Here is a 20,431-nt window from a genome sequence, read left to right on the forward strand (position 1 = left end):
ATTCCCCATAGCCTATGTGAGTCCAAGACAGGGTGTAGCCTGAGTTTTAAATTTTTAATCACACTATTTATCCGCTACTAAGATCCATCTTTGTGTTTCTCCTGCCTACTCTCCACTCCAGGTCCCATTCAATCCTCCTTCCCCATCACGTATCAAGCGTATTCCTTTTGAGTCAGAGGCATTAGAACTATTGTCTTTATTTTATTTTGCGTAGAAAGAGCCTATCATTTGCTGTCTAAACTGGGATACATTTGGATGTGAAAGACCTCATCTTACACCAGGGCAACAGGCACACGATGGGACCTGTGGTCACTGCATATAAAGGATCAATTCCATTACTGGTCAACCTCTGAGCATGCTGCATGTGGCTGCGCAGGTATGCATTCCTCAGATGCCAACCACCTAAGCTAGGACTGAAATCTGCCAACTCACGTGCCTGCCGAGTGGCACCAGTCGGGGAATGGGGGCAGATGCCTTTTCCTAATTCACCCCAGAGCATGGTGTAGGCTGGCAACAGAGGCAGACATCCAATGGCTGCTCAAGCTCCAGTTTCCAATGCCCTGGAAATGGACAAGTAGCATATACTAGAAGCTTCCTAGCTCTTGCTCTGTGCTTTACTCACCTTATTTCATTTAATTCTTATCAACCCCTGTGAAGTGGATGTTATTGCCCTCAATGTTTGAAACTTGAGGAAGATGAGGTTCAGAGTGCTGAGGTAAGAGGCAGAGGCAACCACAGGCCTGGCTGCCTCCCCAGGCCATGCTCTGTGTACTGCACCATCCACCTCCTCATCGTCAGACACCCGCAGGGAGACTGACCTCCGCACAGCCCTTGTCACTCTGAGCCCCAGCACCTCTCTGCCTGCCTGCCTCCCCTGCTGGGGTGTGGGCTCCTTCAGGGGCTCATCTGTGGCTCACCACTGCAAAACAACCAGTCCCTGACAACATGACTGGCACCCGGTAAGTGTACACTAATACTGGTTGACATTCACTCTCTTAAACCACAGCCTCTAGGGCAGAACATGGTACCTAAGTAAATATTTCAAGATTCTTCCCAGCAGGAGGGTGGAGCCACACTGGTCACAAGCCTCACTAGGATTGAAAAAACACTCCCAGGCAGCAGAATCCCGGAACCTTTCCACTTAACACCATCAGAGCCTCCAACTCCTTCTGCTATCCACTAACTTCTCCACGCCTCTGGGGCTTGTCCATAAACCTATCCATCAATTCCTAAACATAGTTTACTAAGTGCTTACTATGGGCTGAGAACCACAGAGGAGGGACACAATTGCCGATGTAGGAGTTTATTCTTTCCTCCAAACCCCAACACCCATTATTACCTGCTGCCTTATTTATAGGGTAAAAAGATATCAGCGAATGGACAACTTTGATTGTATTAGGTTAGTGCAAAAGTAATTGCAGTTTTTACCAAAGTAATGGCAAAGAATGTACTTTTGCACCAACCTAATGATACAAAAAACGAGTTCATATTTTACAGCGCTTTTGTTATATGAAGCACAATCTCCATTTTACACATGAGAATGCTGAGATTCACAGGGGATTGTCCAGGACTCTCTAGCTGGCTCACTCTGCAACCCAACAGGTTAAATGCCCAGCAGTGTGCTAGCAGGAAGGTACAAAAACAGCATCAATGGCCCTCTTTTTCACTGATGTCACACTTCAGGCTCACACAGCACTGCCACACAGATGCCTTCATTCCATCAATGGGGCTGGAGGTGAGATACCATTATCCCCATTTCAGAGATGAGTAACTGAGGCTCCAAGAAGTAGCTTGCCCAAGGTTATGTGTCTATTAAATGGCTGCGTCTGTAAAATTAAAATGCTAACTGTGGCCACCCTGCTTCTCTCACTCCCCCTAGGGCTGCTGTGATGAGAGCAAACACACCCACAATGCTGGCCACACAGTAGGATGTAATAAATCGTGGCTATTATTACTACTTTTTAATACACACAATAGCCACAGCCAGTCTGGAAGGCTGTAGTGGCAATGGCCCGAGGGCAAAAATCCTTGGGGCCCCTTCTTGCTTGGTCTCTCACTTCAAAGGCTATGCACAGTCAGTCACAGGAAACAGAATCAGAGAAGGACTCACAACATCCTGGAGGACGTGATGCCTCCAGGACACAACAGAGGACCGTGCACCCCAGAATCAACTACTTTGCCTCATCTGACCTTCCAAATAGTCCCAAACAGAAGGGAGCAGGAGATGATGGCCATTGGAGAGAAGCCTCCAGGGCTGAATGGCCCCATGAATGGGATGTTGATTCTGGACCAGAATCAGGCCTTGTTTCTGTGCTCCCATTGGGCCCCAGTGGCACAGACCAGCCCTTGTAGGCTCTCCACGGCTGGGCTGGAATAGGCTTTTGATTTCTTCCCACTCCTGGCTGGAGGACTTGCCGGTTAAGCTCTGTGGAGTGTTTACTTTTTCAACAATGGCAGCAGGCTGAAGAATAGGAAAAAACCTGGCCCCTTTTTCTAACTTAGCAGGCCAGGGTCCCCTTAGTAACCAAAATGCCCCGAGCACCAGGCTCCAGGCAGGAGCTGGGACGGCACAGTTTCCTCTTGAAGGACAATGCTGCCCTCCTGGTGGCAAGGCCTCTTCCAAAAGGGCTGGCGTGGACTCAAGGGCCTTCCTGAAGCTCACTGTTCCCAAGGAAAGAATTGGAGCCCAGCTCGCTGGACAGTGCCCGGTCCCCCAAAGGATCAAGGCAACTAGGGGAATGAAGAAAGGCAAGAAAAACTCAAACTGGGGGTGGGGACAGGAAGCGCGGATGAGAAGAAAGCCAGACCGTCGCCAGGTGCCGGTGCCTCTCATCTTAACCATGCCATCAGTCAGGGACACTAGCATCTCTGCATGGGAACCAAGTGGGGGCGCAGAGAGGTCAAACAAGCTGCCCAAAGTCAGAGCTAGGAAGCAGCAGTCAACTTTTGAACACAGTCTTATTGCGGGATCTGGCCAGCAGCCCGCAATGCAACGGGGCTCTCTCTTTGTTCCCAGGTGGATCGGCAGGTTGAGAAATAATAGACACACACGAGATAGTGAAAGCTGGGTCCAGGGGGGTCACCAGCTTCTGGTCCTGCGGTGCCAACAATGCACTGGATATACCAGCATTTATTATTAAGTTTAGTGAAGGCGGGGGTAGGTTAGTGAGGGATTTAGGGTCATTTGATTATGCGGTGAGATGGTCACATGGGGATGAAGTAATTCTTTAACATAGCATTTGTATGTAGAAGTACAGAGCATAACTGAGTGGCTCAGTATATAGAGTACACAGAGATAAGAATTTACAATATAGTGTGTGCGTCAGTAATTTCTAACAGAGCCTTAAAACAGAAACACAATCTTTCCGTAACCTATGATTAGCAAGCTATTAATCAGCAGTAACAATTGCAACAAAAGCTGGTTACAAACAATCCATGGAAACAGGACGTGAAGCTAGACAACCAGTTAGACCAGAAATTCTCAGAAGGGAGTATGCCCTAACCCTAAAGAGGCCTAGAAGAGCCGTGGCAAGATGAGGGCATTTATAGCCCTATCTTATCCATATGGACAGGCGTCCCCCCATGCGTCCGTTTATAGGCTCTCCACAAGGGTCGTATTCCATTCCCAGAGCTATGAACATCTTGGTGATGTGAAACCTCCCTGACTGCACGTCCATTCATAGGTTCTCTGCATGGGGAAGCACATCACACACTGTTGGCTCATTTTGGCAGTCCAACCTGGCATTGTCTTTACACAATCCTGCATGCAATTTTGTATTTACAATAATCAGGAGCATTTCATCTTTTATTCTGTAGCAATAGTTTCAGGGGGTCTCCCTAAACAGTCTGACCCCAAAGCTGACTTTCTTCTGAAGATACCCCTAATCCGATCGCTCAGACATCAGAATGAGTACCTAACTGTTCAGGACACACAGTTATATCAACATGCTCAGAGACTGCTTTCTCTTACATAAAATACTACTTTCCTTTTTATCATAAAAAATAGGATGGGCATGGTGGCTCACACCTGTAATCCCAGCACTTTGGGAGGCCGAAGTGAGCAGATCACCAGAGGTCAGGAGTTCGAGACCAGCCTGACCAATGGAGAAACCCCATCTCTACTAAAAATACAAAATTAGCCAGGCATGGTGGTACATGCCTGTAATCCCAGCTACTCGGGAGGCTGAGGTAGGAGAATTACTTGAACCTGGGAGGTGGAGGTTGCAGTGAGCCGAGATTCAGCCATTGCACTCCAGCACTCCAGCTTGGACAATAAGAGTGAAACTCTGTCTCAAAAAAAAAAAAAAAAAAAAAATTATAGATGCCTACTATTAAAAAATGGGAAAGGCTGGGCACGATGGCTCACGCTTGTAATCTCAGCACTTTGGGAGGCTGAGGCGGGTGGATCACCTGAGGTCAGGAGTTCAAGACCAGCCTGGACAACATGGCGAAACCCTGTCTCTACTAAAAATACAAAAAATTAGCCGGGTGTGGTGGCGGGTGCCTGTAATCCCAGCTACTTGGGAGGCTGAGGAAGGAGAATTGCTTGGACCTGGGAGGCGGAGGTTGCAGAGAGCTGAGATTGCACCATTGCACTCCAGCCTAGGTGACAAGAGTGAAACTCCATCTCAAAAAAAAAAAAAGGGGGGGGGGGAAGAGAAAAGTTTAAAGAAGAAAATTACAGTTATCCCAGTCCCTCCATTTGGAGACAATGTTTTGGTCTATTTCCTTCCATATTCTCCCTTCCTACGTGTTAAAGCAAAGTTGAAATAATTCTATTTTGTTTTTTTTTTTTGAGATGGGAGTCTCGCTCTGTTGCCAGGCTGGAGTGCAGTGGCATGATCTTGGCTCACTGCAACCTCTGCCTCCTGGGTTCAAGCTGTTCTTATGCCTCCGCCTCCTGAGTAGCTGGGATTACAGGCGCATGCCACCATACCCAGCTAATTTTTTTATTTTTACTAGAGATGGGGTTTCACCATGTTGGCCAAAGTGGTCTTGATCTCCTGATCTCGTGATCCACCCACCTCGGCCTCCCAAAGTGCTCGGATGACAGGTGTGAGCCACTGCGTTTGGCCAGTTGAAATAATTCTTAACACTTCTGATTTTCTCACTGATTCTGATATAAGCAGTGATCCACTTAATTAAGAACTTTGCGTGGATCATTACTAACTGCGACAGAGTGCCCTACTACATGGAAACAAACTCAACCAAGCCCCTTTTGTGGGATGTTATTTCCAGTTTTGAAGAAATTACTGTATATAATATCGTCATGAAATCTGTAGGCATAAAGCTTTGTGCTTTAGGATGCATTCCTAGAAGTGGAATTTAGTTTCCACTTCTTAAAAAGTGTCCCTCTCAAATTCGACTTTGAGAGAGATATCTTTACTTCCAATTATTTTAAAGTCATTTTATCCACAGCTTGTGTTTCCTACTATAAGTGAAGAAAAATCAGCAAAGACATGAGCAGATGTCAAAATAGTCCTCCAAAAACCCTACCCAATTAAAACACTTACTAGTACTGCGGCACACCGAGACAGCTCTCCGGTAGCTTGTCCCACCAACACATTCCCTCTCTTTTTAGTTACAGCATATGCCAAAGCTCCTGCCAGCTGCAAACCCTTCCCCCCACCAGACTCTATAGGCTTTTTCTCAGAATGAAAAAAAAAAAAAAAAAAAAAAAAAACTGACATGCACACTGGCTTTCCAAATGGCATTTCTTACATAGAGAAACACACACACAAAATGGCACTTTCCCATATATATTGTTAATGAAGAATGTCTTCCTCTTTCTGCTTTGTCACAGACAGTCTGAACTTGACCCCTGCCTTTCAGGCCAGGGAAGGGAAAACCCGTAGTATGGGGAGTGGTCAGGGGCAGCTGAGAGGACACCAGCTCTAGTATTTCACCTCTGGCTTGTCCCCGACCAGGGGGCTTACTGTAGGCAACTGGCTTGACTGCATAAATCCTCCAGGTTTTCATCTGTAGAATGGAGATCATAACACCACCTATCTCACAGAGTTGTGTGAGGCTTTGATAAGCTAATGTATGTAAAAGATTCAGCATAATTCCCAGAATAGCCCTAACAGGCACTCATCAGTTCTCTTGCCTGCCCGTCCCCTCTCCTTGGATGGTTCCTAGACCTCAGCCATGCCTGGCTAGAGAGACTGAGGCAGCGGCAAGCCTCCCATGACCTGTGCTCCCCTAAGGTTTATCTGCACAATTAGAATAACACGTTGACTGTGACTTACTTAGGTAGGTATCTGATTCCTTCCCTAGTCTACAGGCTTTTGGGGGTTGGGAATCAGATTTCTCTACTCTCAGCTCCTACTCCAATATTTGCCCAAGAGCAGACAATTCGTGAATGAATGAATGAGAGGCAGCAGAGCCCAGAGGTGAAGAACATAGATCCAAAGCCAGTCTGGGTTCTAATTAATCTCTACCATCCACCAGCTGTGCCAACTTGGGTATGTCACTTAATCTTTCTGTGCCTCAGTTTCCTCCTTGATAAATGGGGGATGATAACCGTACCTACCTCACAGATTTGTGAGGATTCAATGGGTTAATATTTTAAAGTACTTGGAGTAGTGCCTGGCACATGGGAAGTGCAAGATAAGTGTTTGTTAAATAAAAACAAATGATCTTTTGTGGGTGATGAAAATATTCTGTATCTTTATTGTGGTGGTTTCATGATCGTATAAAACTGTCAAAATGCATTGAACCATATACTTTAAATGGATGGGTTGTGATAAATATACCCCAATGAAGGTATTCATTGAACCATATACTTTAAGTGGATGGGTTGTGATCAGTTATACCTCAATGAAGTTGATAAACATATTAGCACTCTCTCCAGAACACAGAATAAAATCATAGCCAACCATACAAGGTAAGAGTGTGCGAACAATGGTGAATGAATGCCACGCTACAAGGTGACTCTCCCCAGGGCCACCACCCAGTGTACATTCTGATCTGTGGCTGTGTTTGGCTCCCTGTCCCCTAACTTTTTCATCTAGTCCAGGATTTTTAACTTTTTCAATTCAAGCCCTCTTAGGATAAATATAAAAAGCCAATGTCCCTAGAGATTCTGATAGACTTCCCTATACAAAGGAGGGGGTCTGTTTGATAAACACTCTATCTTTGGTGTCTTTTCTGTAGCCAAGATGGTATTGAGCCTTACTTTCTAGAGTTGGTTGTATGAAAACAATGGGATTTCCTCCCTAAAATATAAAATAATATCAGCTACACTAATTAAAACCACACCAGCTGCCCACACAGATTGGTGCGGGGGAGTGTCCTACCTGTCCAAGGAGGGAATTGGGCAGCTAGTGACAAAAGGTAGTACTTAAAAGCAAGCCACAAGATGAAAGGCAAGGGTGTGCACTGGCAATGTCAGCCGGGGGATCTGAAGAGTGGCCAGGAGCATGCAGCACTCAGCCGGGTTGGGAGCGTGGGGCTGGACATTGAGGAGCAGGGGCTCAGTTCTGCCTCTGCTCGTCCAACAGCTGTGCAGCAAGACAGGACACCCTCTCTAGGATGGAGGTTGTGTGGTTCAGGGAGGTGACATGCATAGAGTAAACAGGCCAGCACTGAGTGAATCTTTTCTGCTGTCCTCAGACCAGGACCATCTCCAGGGCAGAGCTGTGTCTTATTTGTCTCCAGTGTCCAGCACAGTGCCTGACACAAGGCAAGTGCTCATTAACTGGGGAATGAGAAACGACTGTGGCTAGATCCACTCTACTGGGAGGTCTGCCTGGCAGCAGATGTCAATGTAAGCCCGAATGGACAATGTCAGCTCAACGAAAGCAAATCGGAGTTTGCTCAAGGAAGTGCAATGGGAATAATAATAATAACGATGGCAATGATAACAATCATGTAAAATTAGCATGATTAATTAGTGTAGAATTAATTCACAGTGGACACAGAAAGCCAGATAGGAGTTAACACAGCGATTAAGACTGTGGGTCTGGAACAAGACAGCCAGATTCAAGCCCTGCTTCTGTACTGTGTAAACATCAGCAAGTTCTTTACTTCTGAGCCTCAGTGTTCTTATCAATAAAATAGGGATAATACTGCACAGCTGTGTTGCGAGGATTTAGTGAGATACTAGGTATGAAGATTTTAACACAATGTCTGATTGCAATTAGTGATCAATAAATGTGGGGCTATTAAAGGCAAGTTTCTATCCTTGCAATTTGCAAGTTATGTCAATAAAATGGATTAGAGTTCTAAGACTAAGGAATTAAACAGCTGATTTTCAGAACAAAGGAAAATGCGAATAAGTCTCTATTATTATACTCTCATGCTATTAAAAATTAAACTACCACCAAGCGATTGTTCTTTTCTTGGCTATGTCTCATATAAAAGTGCATTCTCTGGAGCCAGACTGCCTGAGTCTGAATCCTAACTCTGCCAATTAAAACTGTGCTACCTTGGGCAAATTATTTAGACTTCCTGTGCCTCAGTTTCCCTATCTGTATAATGAGATAAAAACAGCACTGACATCCAGGACAGTGGTCATCCTTGGGCTGGGGGGAAACTGACTAGAATAGGGTACAAGAGGAGTTTCTGGGGGGCTGGTAATATTTTGTTTCAATATCTGGGTGGTGGTTACATGTATATGTCCACCTTGTAAAAACTCAGCTAGCTGTACATTTAGTGGGTTTCTGTGTTGGTTTGGATTTATTTTATTTTATTTTGAGAGATGAGGTCTTGCTGTGTTGTCCAGGCTGGACTTGAACTCCTGGGCTCAAGTGATCCTCCCGCCTCAGCCTCCTGAGCAGCTGGCACTCCAGGTGCATGCCACTGTGCCCAGCTTTAACTGTACATTTAGGATGGGTGCATCTTTCCCTCACACTTCAAGAAAATGTTTACCACACACACAAAAAAATACGGACTTCACCAGGTTATTTTGGCAATTAAATGAGTTAATATATGTGTAATACCTAGGATAGTGTCTGGTGTATCAGAAGCACTAGGTATTAGTTATTATTATAAAAAATCAAGATAGCAATAATTCTATAATAGAAGTGACTCAATTGAGATTCTATTTCACTGTTAGAAAATGTGTTTGTGAAGGCAGACAGCTCCAGGACACACACTGCTTCTCAGTCTGCACTGCCTCCCTCCAGGGAAGGGCAAAGCTGCAACATTGTTGGGGTCCTTCTGAGACGTCTTTGCAGTCCTGAGGAGGAGCAGGAGTCAGGTAGATTGGGCTTGGGATTTTATCTTCCTCAATTCCTAGTTACAGGACCAAGGGTAAATGATTTAATCCTAGCTGAACCTCAATTTCTTTATCCATAAAATGGGTCTATAACAACTTGTTACATAGGGTTGTGAGAGGATTAAGTAAAAAATTCTCTTCTGGGTGACGCCTAAAGCCAGTAAGCATCATCTACTCTCATGGCCAAGACAGCACCCAAGGCAGCACCTCTGAGAGCAGTAATGGGACCTCCAAGCAAAGGGGAAGGGTCTAGGCTGGCTTCCTGCAAAGACACTTTGCTCTGAGAGGGCACAGTGTCATGTGTTATTATCATGCCCACAACATGCTTTGCATTTGTTCAAACTAAGTCTAAGTTGATCCCTCTGTGAGAGGGGCACACTTGATGTGGCTCCTGACATTATACTATATGTCCCCTGTAAGTATGACTTCTTGGGAGCTTTTCTTTTTCTTTTTTTTAAAGGGAGAGAATATGGCTAAAATTAAACCAAAAATTACATCTTAGTAGCTTGTTAATCAAAATTTTATTCTAAATGACTGTTGCTGGGTTCCAAGCAGGTGCCTTGATACAGTGTGGCTCTGTGTTCCCACCCAGATCTCACGCCCTCTTGTAATTCCCAGTGTTGGAGGAGGGGCCTGGTGGGAGGTGACTGGATCGTGGGGGCTAATTTCCCCCTTGCTGTTCTTGTGATGGTGAGTGAGTTCTCCCAAGATCTGGTTGTTTGAAAGTGTGTAGCATTCCCCTCTCTCTCTCTTTCTCCTGCTGGCCATGTGGGATGTGCCAGCTTCCCCCATCGCCTTCTACCATGATTGCAAGTTTCCTGGGGCCTCCCCAGCCATGCTTCCTGTACAGCCTGCAGAACCCTGAGCCAATTAAACCTCTTTATAAATTGCCCAGTCTCAAGTAGTTCTTTATAGTCGTGTGAGAATGGACTAATACATGCCTCTCTTCTCCAACTGCACTCCTATGGCTACGTATCAGTCCAAGCCACAGCCAATGTTACAGAGGCCTGTGTGTATCAGGAACTGTGTGACATGCTCTGCATCCATCATCTTACTGACACACACAACAACAAAATTACAGCCACTAGCTGTTGTGTTTCTCCCACAGCCCAACTCCTTACAAGTATCATTTAATGTAATTCCCATGAAGTCCCTGTGGAGAGAGATGGAAACTGAGGGTCAGAGAGGTAAAATAACTCGTCGGAAATCACATGGCTAAGAAACACTGGCTGTAGGCATTGAGATGAACAGCAATACCTTTATTCTACCCAAGGCATGGCATTATTTGCTCTGACACATTGTTTCAATCAACAAACATACTGAGCAACTAATATAACGGACCTTTGTTAGGCATACCAGATTAATCAAGCCCTTAAGTATTTTGATGCCTGACCCAGACTCCACTAAAATTCCCAGGGAGGGGAGACTTTCCTACAGAATCATACCCATTTGATGGATGAGGAAACAATGCTAGAGATTAAATAATTTGCCCGTGTTCTTACAACTGGATGCATCAGAGAAAGGATTTGAATCTGGGTTCCATGAGCCAGTGTTCCTTCCACTACACAGCATGCACAAAATGTGCCCAAATGCATGTGCATATATATGAGTACATAACAAAGAACAGCATGGGAAGCTGGTGGCCTCCTAGGAGGAAAGGAAAGAGAAATAAGAGGGAAAGTGGATAGGACAGGAAAGGAAAGGCAAACATTCAGGTATTCTAAACTCTTTATTTCCTCCTGAAATCTCAGATACACAAAGAGGGAAGAGTGACATTTTCCTTCCCTTCCTCAGGCCCCAAAGGTCACCAAGCTGCCAAGCAGTTGATGAACGCAGTGGCTTTTCTTTGGAGCCAAGAGTCGCTGATTTGCTCCTTCCTGCTCCACAAAATTAAAAATCTAAGCCTGACAGTTCAGAGGAGCCCTGAAAACACCGCTGGAATTTCCCAGTGTGCTTTAAACAGAAACAGAAGCTTGGCAGAGGAGGGAAGTGGTGTAAGCACCTCCCAGGTCAGGCCAAATCCACCCCTCACAAGGTAACAGGCACTGACTCTCATTAACAAGTCCAGGGATTCTCAAGCCAGGTCAGCAAAGGGGCTCTTCCTCTAATGGCCCCTTTCCTGGCCATCGATCCACTGGGTGTTCATTCACTCACTCATTTGGTACATCACGTATGGAGCCGTCATTCATGTCAACTTTACGCTAGGTCTTAGGGACACAGAGACGATTAAACCATGATCTCTGAACTCAAGGGGCTCCCCGCCTCTCCTTGTGGATGGGCTGTGGGTAGATCTGAGAAAGGGCACAGTAGTATGCAGCAGACCAGTGGACCATTCCCACTCACCCACCAGCCCCATTCTCTCCCCGACATGGTCCTGGGCCCAGGGCCAGAAAGTCTCCAGGCTGGGGTCCTGGCCTTTTCACTTACCAGCTAGGCAGCTTCAGGCAAGGCACTCAGCCTTCTCTAGCACCAGTTTCCCTTGCTGTGAGCCGAGGTCATGCTCCTTACCTTCAGGGTTGTTGAAAAGATTGGGGGAGACACTGGGAACACATGTTTCATACAGAGTCCACCATCAAGCAGACGCTCGGTCAGTGCCAGCTGGCCCCCCTCTGGGAGCTGGGTTCTGCCAGTCCTCCTAGCAATCCACTCTAGAAATCCACCCCAACACAGAACCTCCATCCAGCCTGGCCTCCACTCTGCCATCCAGAACGGAGTGGGGAGCCTACTCACACTCTGACTCTGCTGGTGTTTTGTCTCAAACTGAAGCAGGCTTCCCACTGCTGCAGACTCAGTTTCCTCATGTGTAAAAAGAGGACAAGAAAGGTGTCAACACCTTTCCCCACAGCTGCAAAGCACAAACATGCGATGATATGGCAGAGCACTCCATAAGATGAGAAGCATGGCCCAGAGATAGCTCGCCACGTTACTGCCACCCAGCAGATCCTGCTCTTCTAGAAAACCCTCCTGACTACTCCTATCCCCGCCTCAGGTTGTCATCTCTAAACCCCATGCCAAGCACAGTGAACAACAGATTCTTTGGCCTGCAGTTAAAACTTGTTTAGTGATGTTTCCTGTGCGCTATCACTTTCCCCTTAAAATAACTGCTTTAAACCTTACGCTATTCACATACACTGTGGTAATGTTTACCACTGGTACCTGTAAAGCAGTGTTGAATTTTTGAACATACCATATTTTATATTTACCTATATTTTAGAATGTATTATTTTAAAATATCCTCAAAGCAACCTCTTGAAATGAGCTTTATTATTCACATTTTACAGAAGAACAACCTGAAGCTCCAAGAGGTACAGTAATTTGCCCCAGATCATAGAGTATCAGAGTTAAGATTTGAGCTTGGGATTTGACCCCAAAGCCTGGTGCCTTTCTCCTCGCTGTGCAGCCTCCTCCACTTTCCAGGCACAGAGCTGGTGCTAAGCAAATACTGAGGACAGTGGCCACTTCCACACGTCTCTTGTGACCTCCATGTATAGACTTACCAGAGTGCTGAAACACAGTGGCAAGCAAGCCCTAAAAGTAGGGCCAGTATAATAGTTTTCTTTTGTACACACTAAACTGCTTCATGCAATGAAATAACTGTGTTTGAATCCTGCTCCTCCTAATTATGTGTGTGACTTTGGACAAGTTACTTAACCTCTCTGTGCCTATATTTCATCATCTGTAAAATAGGGGCCCCACTACCAGAGCACAGATGCATTATGAAAATTAAATAATGAGCATAACGTGTCTGGCAGTAGTTCAAAATAGCATCCATCCAAAGTGAAACAATAGAACTTGAATTTAAGAGTTTCACTGGGAGTGTGGGGGATGTTGATTCCCTAGTCCCCAAATGGTTTGGGGTCACCCTATCATAAAATAGGACCTCATTCCTCCCACACAACTGCCACTTGCCATCATTCATTCATCACTAAGCACTGCAAAGCCCGACTCCCATCTCCACCTGCCTTTTATTTGAAATGTCAATTTTTAAAGAGTGGAGAGGTTGGAAACCCAATTTAACAAGCACGCTGAAACATTGTTTATTGCCCCCATAAACATGGCTTAGTGAGAATTACGGACTTAATCAGAGTGAACTTATCTTGCGGTGAAAAGGAACACTTTAAATTTCAGAAATGGCACCTTCACTGTGAAAATCTCTTAACTTTTCAAACAAACTACAGGGGGTCTTAAACATATGGGCAGTAAAGGGGCAGCTATTACTTTGATTTGTCCTACCCACGAGCCTAGGAGCCCTCACAGTCCTTAACAACTTTAAGATCTAGGAAAAATACTTGGAAAATCATATTCAGGAGACATGTCTCTAAAAGCACCCAAAAGGTCTGCAGAGTGAGAAGTGAGACCTGTATAGCTGCTCTTGGGGTTATTCAAAAGGATGGGCCCTAGGGTCATTAGAACAGGGGCTATTTAATAAGCAGCAGCAGTGAGAAAGTGCACCCCTCCTCCTAAGATTAAACATTTAGCAATAGGTAATATTTTGCTGACCTGCTTTTCAGAAGAGAGGTGCTACACAAATCTAAAAGGCTGCTAAATGGTTTGTGTGGGTCTTCTTTATTTATAAACCCCCTCCCTCCTGCTGAGGATGACGTCCTATGAACCCCAACTTCCCAATCTGAGGCTTCATTAATGCTACTCAGATCATTCCAGGGAAGGTTTTCATAAAGACGACCCCATCTTGCAGACAACGTATCAGCCTGGCTGCCAGAGGCAGGAAAGGCAATAGATATAAAATTTTATTATTTCAATGCCCCAGTAGCAGCCAGGAGGACTTAATGAAATCGCCAAGATTTACAATCTGAAATAGCTATTGCACAGACAGATACAGTTAAGGGAGCTGAGCCCTCTGACCTTTCAACCCTTTGATCTTCACTCGGCAGGTGGCCTGGAGCCCCCTCCTGGGCATCTTCCCTCTCTTCTGACACTGCCAAACCTTGATGTGCAATAAGCCTGACCCTACACAGGTGACTCTCCCGGTGCTTATCACCAGCAGCTGCTGCTAATGGCACGGCCAAAATCACTCCGAGGCAGGGAAGGGGAATATACTGTGCAGTGTCCAAATGGTGCTGAAACAAGGCTCAATAACTCAGCCCCAAGTCCAGTTGTGCAGCAGTGCATAATGATGTCATTACCCAAAAGTGTCCTTAGAAAATGGAACTCTGATCTCCCCTGATTTACACTTTGAGGTTGGGGGAGGGGGGAAAATCACCTTTTAAAACTCAATCACAAATCTCAAAAAAAAAAAAAAAAAAAAACCAACCCCAAAGTCCCAAATGCATCTCTCAGAACTTCCCCAAAACCATGTGCAGCAAATTTATACCAGCGAAAATCTAAACAATTTTTGGAAACCTAAAATTGACTGTTTTCAGTTCCATGAAATTTCATTTAAAAAACCCCATATGCCAAAATGTCCAAATTCTCTTATTTTTAAAAATTGGGATGACATCCAAAAATCATAGCTATCTTTTTCTTTCTTTTTTTTCCCCCTTCTTCTAAAGCTAGGGATGGGTAGTGTGCATATGTACTTATCAAGCTTCATAATTTAACCCATTCGGTCAGTACAAAATATTTGCAGTTAAATGCTGAAGAGGGAGGATATAAATTTATTACCACTGGATCTTTGGAAACAACGGACTCCTAGGCACCAAGGTTTAGCAGACATTATATTTGGCTAAGGAAGTGTCCAGGAGTCTAGGCACAGCTCCAATCTGCACCTTTTAGCTTTTGTCAATATTTGGGTTTATGGAGGGAAGGATTTTAGGCAAGACACATAAACCACTCTCAGGGATGTTGATAACTTCCAACCACAAAACAAAACTTCAGTGCCACTGTTCATCATACTTCAGAAAAGCCCCCAGTCAATGCCTTTGTTTCTAAACAAACATAGAATGGTGGTCCCAAGCTTTACCTGCAAAGGCCTGAACTTAGATCATAAATGTTTGAATCCAATAGCCAAAGAAAAAACCTACTTCTTTTGTAGCCTAAACGGCATATCTCTTAAGTGTCCAACTTTAATTTCATCTTGAAATCAGCTGAGAATCAAACAATATGTAAAGAGAGATCTATAGACTCCATTTTTAAACACACTTTTCTCTCTGGATGTTTAACTTTAGTACAGAGAGTAGTGTGTGGAGAAATTAGTTTAGCAGGGGGGAAAAAAGGCATGGTTACTACATCACAGTTTGACCTCTTTGTACAAAACGACTGTTGAGCTATCTTCTAGAGATGCCTATTGGAAATATTTTATTCATAATAATAGCTACCAGAGGGTGATGGCCTAGTAATGTTCATGGCACTTCGGTCATATTATTTCTAATTGTCATCACTTTATGGCAGGTGTCCTCATTTTGCTGATGGGGATATTAAGGCACACACCCACAGAAGCTCAGCGACTTGCCCAAATTACAGATAGATAAATGGCAGAGCTGGGATTCAAACTCAGGTTCACTGACTGCTCAAAAAGCCCATGGTCCAGCCACATTTTCCCCAACAAAAGCAAAACACGAACAAACAGAACAAGAACATGCATTAATTTGTGCAGAAAATGCCGGATTTCGGCTTGCTTACACATTGCCCTGGCCCATTTAACGGCCTTCCAAATCAATTATTTTAGGTCATTAAGAGGAAGTTTAATTTGGTTGACAAACACCCCTACTGTGGTGACCTCACATATCAACAACAAATGCCTGATGGTCACAAACCCATACCATGAGTCGGCTGAGCATGGTGTTAAACAAAACCACATGCGCCCAGATTTCAAGTGGGATTTGTCTAGGCCAAGGGTACGGCTCTTCAATCATCACACTGCTGGTCTCTGAGCTCCCACAATGGCCCCGCCCCTAATCACTTGCAAGGAGTTTATGAAGTCAACAGTCTCACGTGGCCGGGCTCAGTTAAAAAGTAAGTTTAAGTTAATGTCAGTTTAGAAAAAGTCACTCATTAGAAAAATAAAAACAGGTTGAAAAAGGAGGGCAGAGTCAATCTTAGGTAGATAAGTCTTTTAGTTTCTTTGTAAGGGAAGGATATCAATTCTACACCTAAATAATATTGATAATCACTTCCATTTATTTGGCACTCACCATGTGTCAGACACCAATCTGAGTGTTTTCATGTACCTTCTTATTTACTCCTCATTGAAAACTCCTATGAAATGGGGCAACTACCTATTTTACCAGTGAGGAGTCTGGGGCTCAAAGAGGCACCTTAACGTACCCATCTGCAAAACAGGGGCACCTCTCTCAGAGTGGTGGCAATTAGAAATTACACGGCCAAAGTGGCATGCACATTAGTAGACCCTCATTCAATGGTCAAGATTATTATGTATAGGTATTTCCAGCAGGAATCTTTTAAGAGGATAGCAAAAGAATAGTTTTGTGCAAAGTGGTCAAACTGTGTGATGTAGTAACCATACCCTTTTCCTCTGAGAAACTGATTTCTGATTTAAACAAAGGAGTTTGCTTAGGCCGGGTGTGGTGGTGCACACCTGTAGTCCCAGCTACTTGGGACGCTGAGGCAGGAGAATCGCTTGAACCCAGGAGGCGGAGGATGCAGTGAGCTGAGATGGCACCACTGCACTCTAGCCTGGGCAACAAAGCAAGACTCCATCATAAAAAAAAAAAAGGTGCTTGTTTAAAGTGATCTAGTAGTGGTGAAACTAGAATATGAACTCAGGTCCATATGACTCCAGTGCCCACGAGCTCTCTGTTACACAGTCCCCCTGCTCACTGCCCACTGCTCCTTACCTCAATCTGGCAGGAATTTGACTCATTCAGGCTTCTCTTGGTAACAATTTATAAACTTTTAAGTTTTCTCTGAAGCCAGTTTTAACATTGCTAAATGCAACCTATATATAATGACATAAATGATGATAGGAAAATACGAAAACAAAAGCATCAATGATGGTTTCACATTTTTTTACTGGGATTCTCCTCATCATTACTGAGTTTTTCTCATCTGTAACAGAGGGCTATTCCATCTCACGTGAGAATATTTCCATCATGACTAGTTAGACTGAAAACGTACTGACTGCAAGAGATACTTAACTCAGCCAGAAGTACTTGTTCCCTTTGATTACATAAATTACTGCTAGAGCTTTAAATTGTTTTATATTAACTAATTCCAACATTAGGATAAGTGGCATTTGAGATTCATATTCATTTTAAAAGCAAATGCTTACTGTGAAGAGGAGACAGCTTCTAAGGGAAATCTATCCACTCAATCCAGGGCCTTCCTCGAGGCCTAAGGTGAGCAGAGCCTGCTGCGTTTGCAGTAGGAAGCTTCTGGATGGTACGAGACTCATAAGTGATGACTGTGCATGAGAACACATAGCATGCTAAGGAAATTCCAGGACCAAGCCACCGTTCAATTACCTTTTTCTTTACAAAATAAAGCAATCTCCACCCAGGGTTTCACTGATATAAACTTTGCCTCTTATTTTTATACTACTAACTAGGAAAATGAATGTTTGGCATAGTATTTTTAAAAAGCTCTTCATATTTGATTTAATTGAATAAACTATATCAGTTAATTCTCACAAGTCTTTTATGTGGATAATATCAATTTAATTTTACAGATAAGAGTGGACCAGGTAAGAGTGGACCAGATAAGTTAACCAGGTCCCAGTCAAAGTATACTCAGAGCTTGTCTCTGGAGGAATATGGGGCCACCAGCTGTAAGCCCTCCTTTCCCCTCCTCACCACAATCCCCAGCACACAGCACTGAGAAGGAAGAGCCCAGGACAGGTGGGGACTCTGCCCAGGACTGGGATGGCACAGGCATAATCCACATGGCCTGATGGGAGGGTACGCAGATCAGAGGCTCTGATAAACCCCTTGCAGCTGAAGGCCTGGGTACAAATTACAGTCGTCTCTCAGTATCTGAGGGGGATTGGTTCCAGGGCCCCTGTGAATACCAACATCTGCAGATGCTCAAGTCTCTGATACCAAAGGGTATAATGTTTGCATATAACCAATGCACATACTCCTGTATGCTTTAAATTGTCTCTAGATTACTTACAATACCTAATACAATGTAAATGTTAAATAGTTGTGATACTGTATATAACAACTATTATACAACAATTATACAAATATTATACAAAAATAGCCAATACCATATTGGCTTTTTAATTTATATTCTTTCATATATTTTTTTCCAAATATTTTTGATCTGTGGTTGGATGAATCTGTGGACATGGAACCTGTGGATGCAGAGCGCCAATTGTATGTTACCTCTCAGAGCCTCAGCTTCCCTATCTGCAAGTGTGAATATCTCCTACTTCGCAGAGAGTGTCTGAGGAACGCTCAAACATGAAAACAGGTCAAGTCCTCAGCACAGTGGTTGGCAAGTACTCAAAAGATGTTAAAGTCTCCTCCAACCCTTTCCCTTTCTTGCCATGAGCCTATGAATGAAACTATCAGGTGAGATTTTTCATGCAAATATCACTTTTTATTTCATTTTATTTTGAGACAGGGTCTTTGTCACCCAGGCTGGAGTGCGGTGGCACAATTATGGCTCACTGCAGCCTCGAACTCCTGGGCTTGGCTTGAGTGATCCTCTTGCCTCAGCCTTCTGAGTAGCTGGAACTATAGCTGTGTGTCACCACACCTGGCTAGTTTTGTTGTTGTTGTTGTTTTTAATTTTACGTAGAGATGAGGTCTCACTGTGTTGCCCAGGCTGTTTTTTAATAAAGCAAGAATAGGATCACTTGGCACTAATAAATGTCACATGGAACATCTCTGTTCTTGTGAGGACACATATACAAGTCACCATTTATACCTGGATGTAACTATGGCTCAGAATTTTGCATCAATTGCAGCATTAACAAATGTGAACTACATCTTACTTCTGTCTACATGTGGAGTCATACAAAGAAGCAAAATGGTACAATGGTAAACAAGAAACACTCTTCTTTACTCTGTTAAAAAATAAATATCAAAAAAAGAGAAAGGAACAAAGCATGAAAGACTTTCTATGCCAGGGGAAAAATGAAAAGAAAAAACTAGTTAAAATAGTGCCAACTCAATTGACAGAAATTCCAGTTCTTTGAAATGCAAAGGAAAAAAAATCCCATTACTTTCCCCTTGCCTGTAAATAAATGAATCCTATATTATTTTGTGTAAAAGCTCCATAGTTAAATTGGGAACCTTGTTGTAGACATAGACAAATGTGGCCTCTGGATCCCGAGACCAAGATGAGCTTTGATTTGGCACCTGGATGCTGTCCTCTGAATGGCGGCTCAGTGCTGTTTTAAGCACTTGTATGTTTGAAAAACCAGGCTTCTAGGGACCCATGGCTAAGCATTCCTAGGTAAAAGATGGTGAAAGCAGCAGAATGCCAGGAGCTCCCCATGCACCCATCACACGCCTCTTGAAACTGCATTAGAGGGGAGAAGCAGCTGGGGGCCCCCCAACTGGTCCCTGGGTCTCACTCCCCCTGCACCTACTGCCTTGAACTACCACATAGTACATAAAATACATTCATACCCTTAAACTGAGGTGTAGAAAAAGTAACTAATTCATAAAAAGTACTTGAAAACATAGAAGAAAAGACACAATCTAGTAAAAGTGGTGCTAATACTTCGAAGAAAGCCATCACTACAAACACCTCTGTCACAGCTTGGTAGCAAAGAAGCTCAGGTTTGGGACACTGACCCATCTGAATTTTATGTACATGTTTTTGATGTGTAATTTCCTAAAGAATTACCTTGATCTTTGCAAATATCAATTTACTTTATTAACATGGTTAAGTGGTTTCCAAGCATTTTATACGGAAGGACTGTGTTTCTAATGGCCCAGAAGGAGAAGGCCTGACCATGTCCCTCCTCTATTTACACCCTTCAATGGCTCTCCATTGCCCTATAAAGTTCAAACTCTTTACTGCAGCCTCCAAGGCCCTGGATGGGCTGGGCCTGGCCTGCTTACCTCAGCTCATGCTCCTATCGGAGGCTGAACTACTCATATCTCCTGGAAAGCCCCCTTTGCCTACACCTAAGTCTTTGCAGATGCTGCTCTCTGCTCCCTGGTTTATCTAATTCTTCTATTTATCTACTAGGTTTCAGTGTGGGCATTCTCTTCCTCTGAGAAGCATTATTCTCAAGGCTAGGGTCAGCATCTCTCCTCCCAGAGCCTACAGCATCCCAAATTCACTACAATTACTTTATATTTTTCTGCATCTGGTCTACACACAATCCTGTGAAGG

The 20,431-nt window shown here is 44.1% G+C and overlaps 1 protein-coding gene across 42 annotated transcripts in view; it reads right to left on the reverse strand.

Moving 5' to 3' along the window:
• DENND1A (DENN domain containing 1A) overlaps positions 1 to 20,431 on the reverse strand; it is a 550,469-nt gene that overhangs the window by 204,333 nt on the left and 325,705 nt on the right. The gene's annotated exons all lie outside the window — the stretch shown is intronic.

Source organism: Homo sapiens, chromosome 9 (genome assembly GCF_000001405.40).
Source record: "Homo sapiens chromosome 9, GRCh38.p14 Primary Assembly".
NCBI classification, from domain to species: Eukaryota; Metazoa; Chordata; class Mammalia; order Primates; family Hominidae; genus Homo; species Homo sapiens.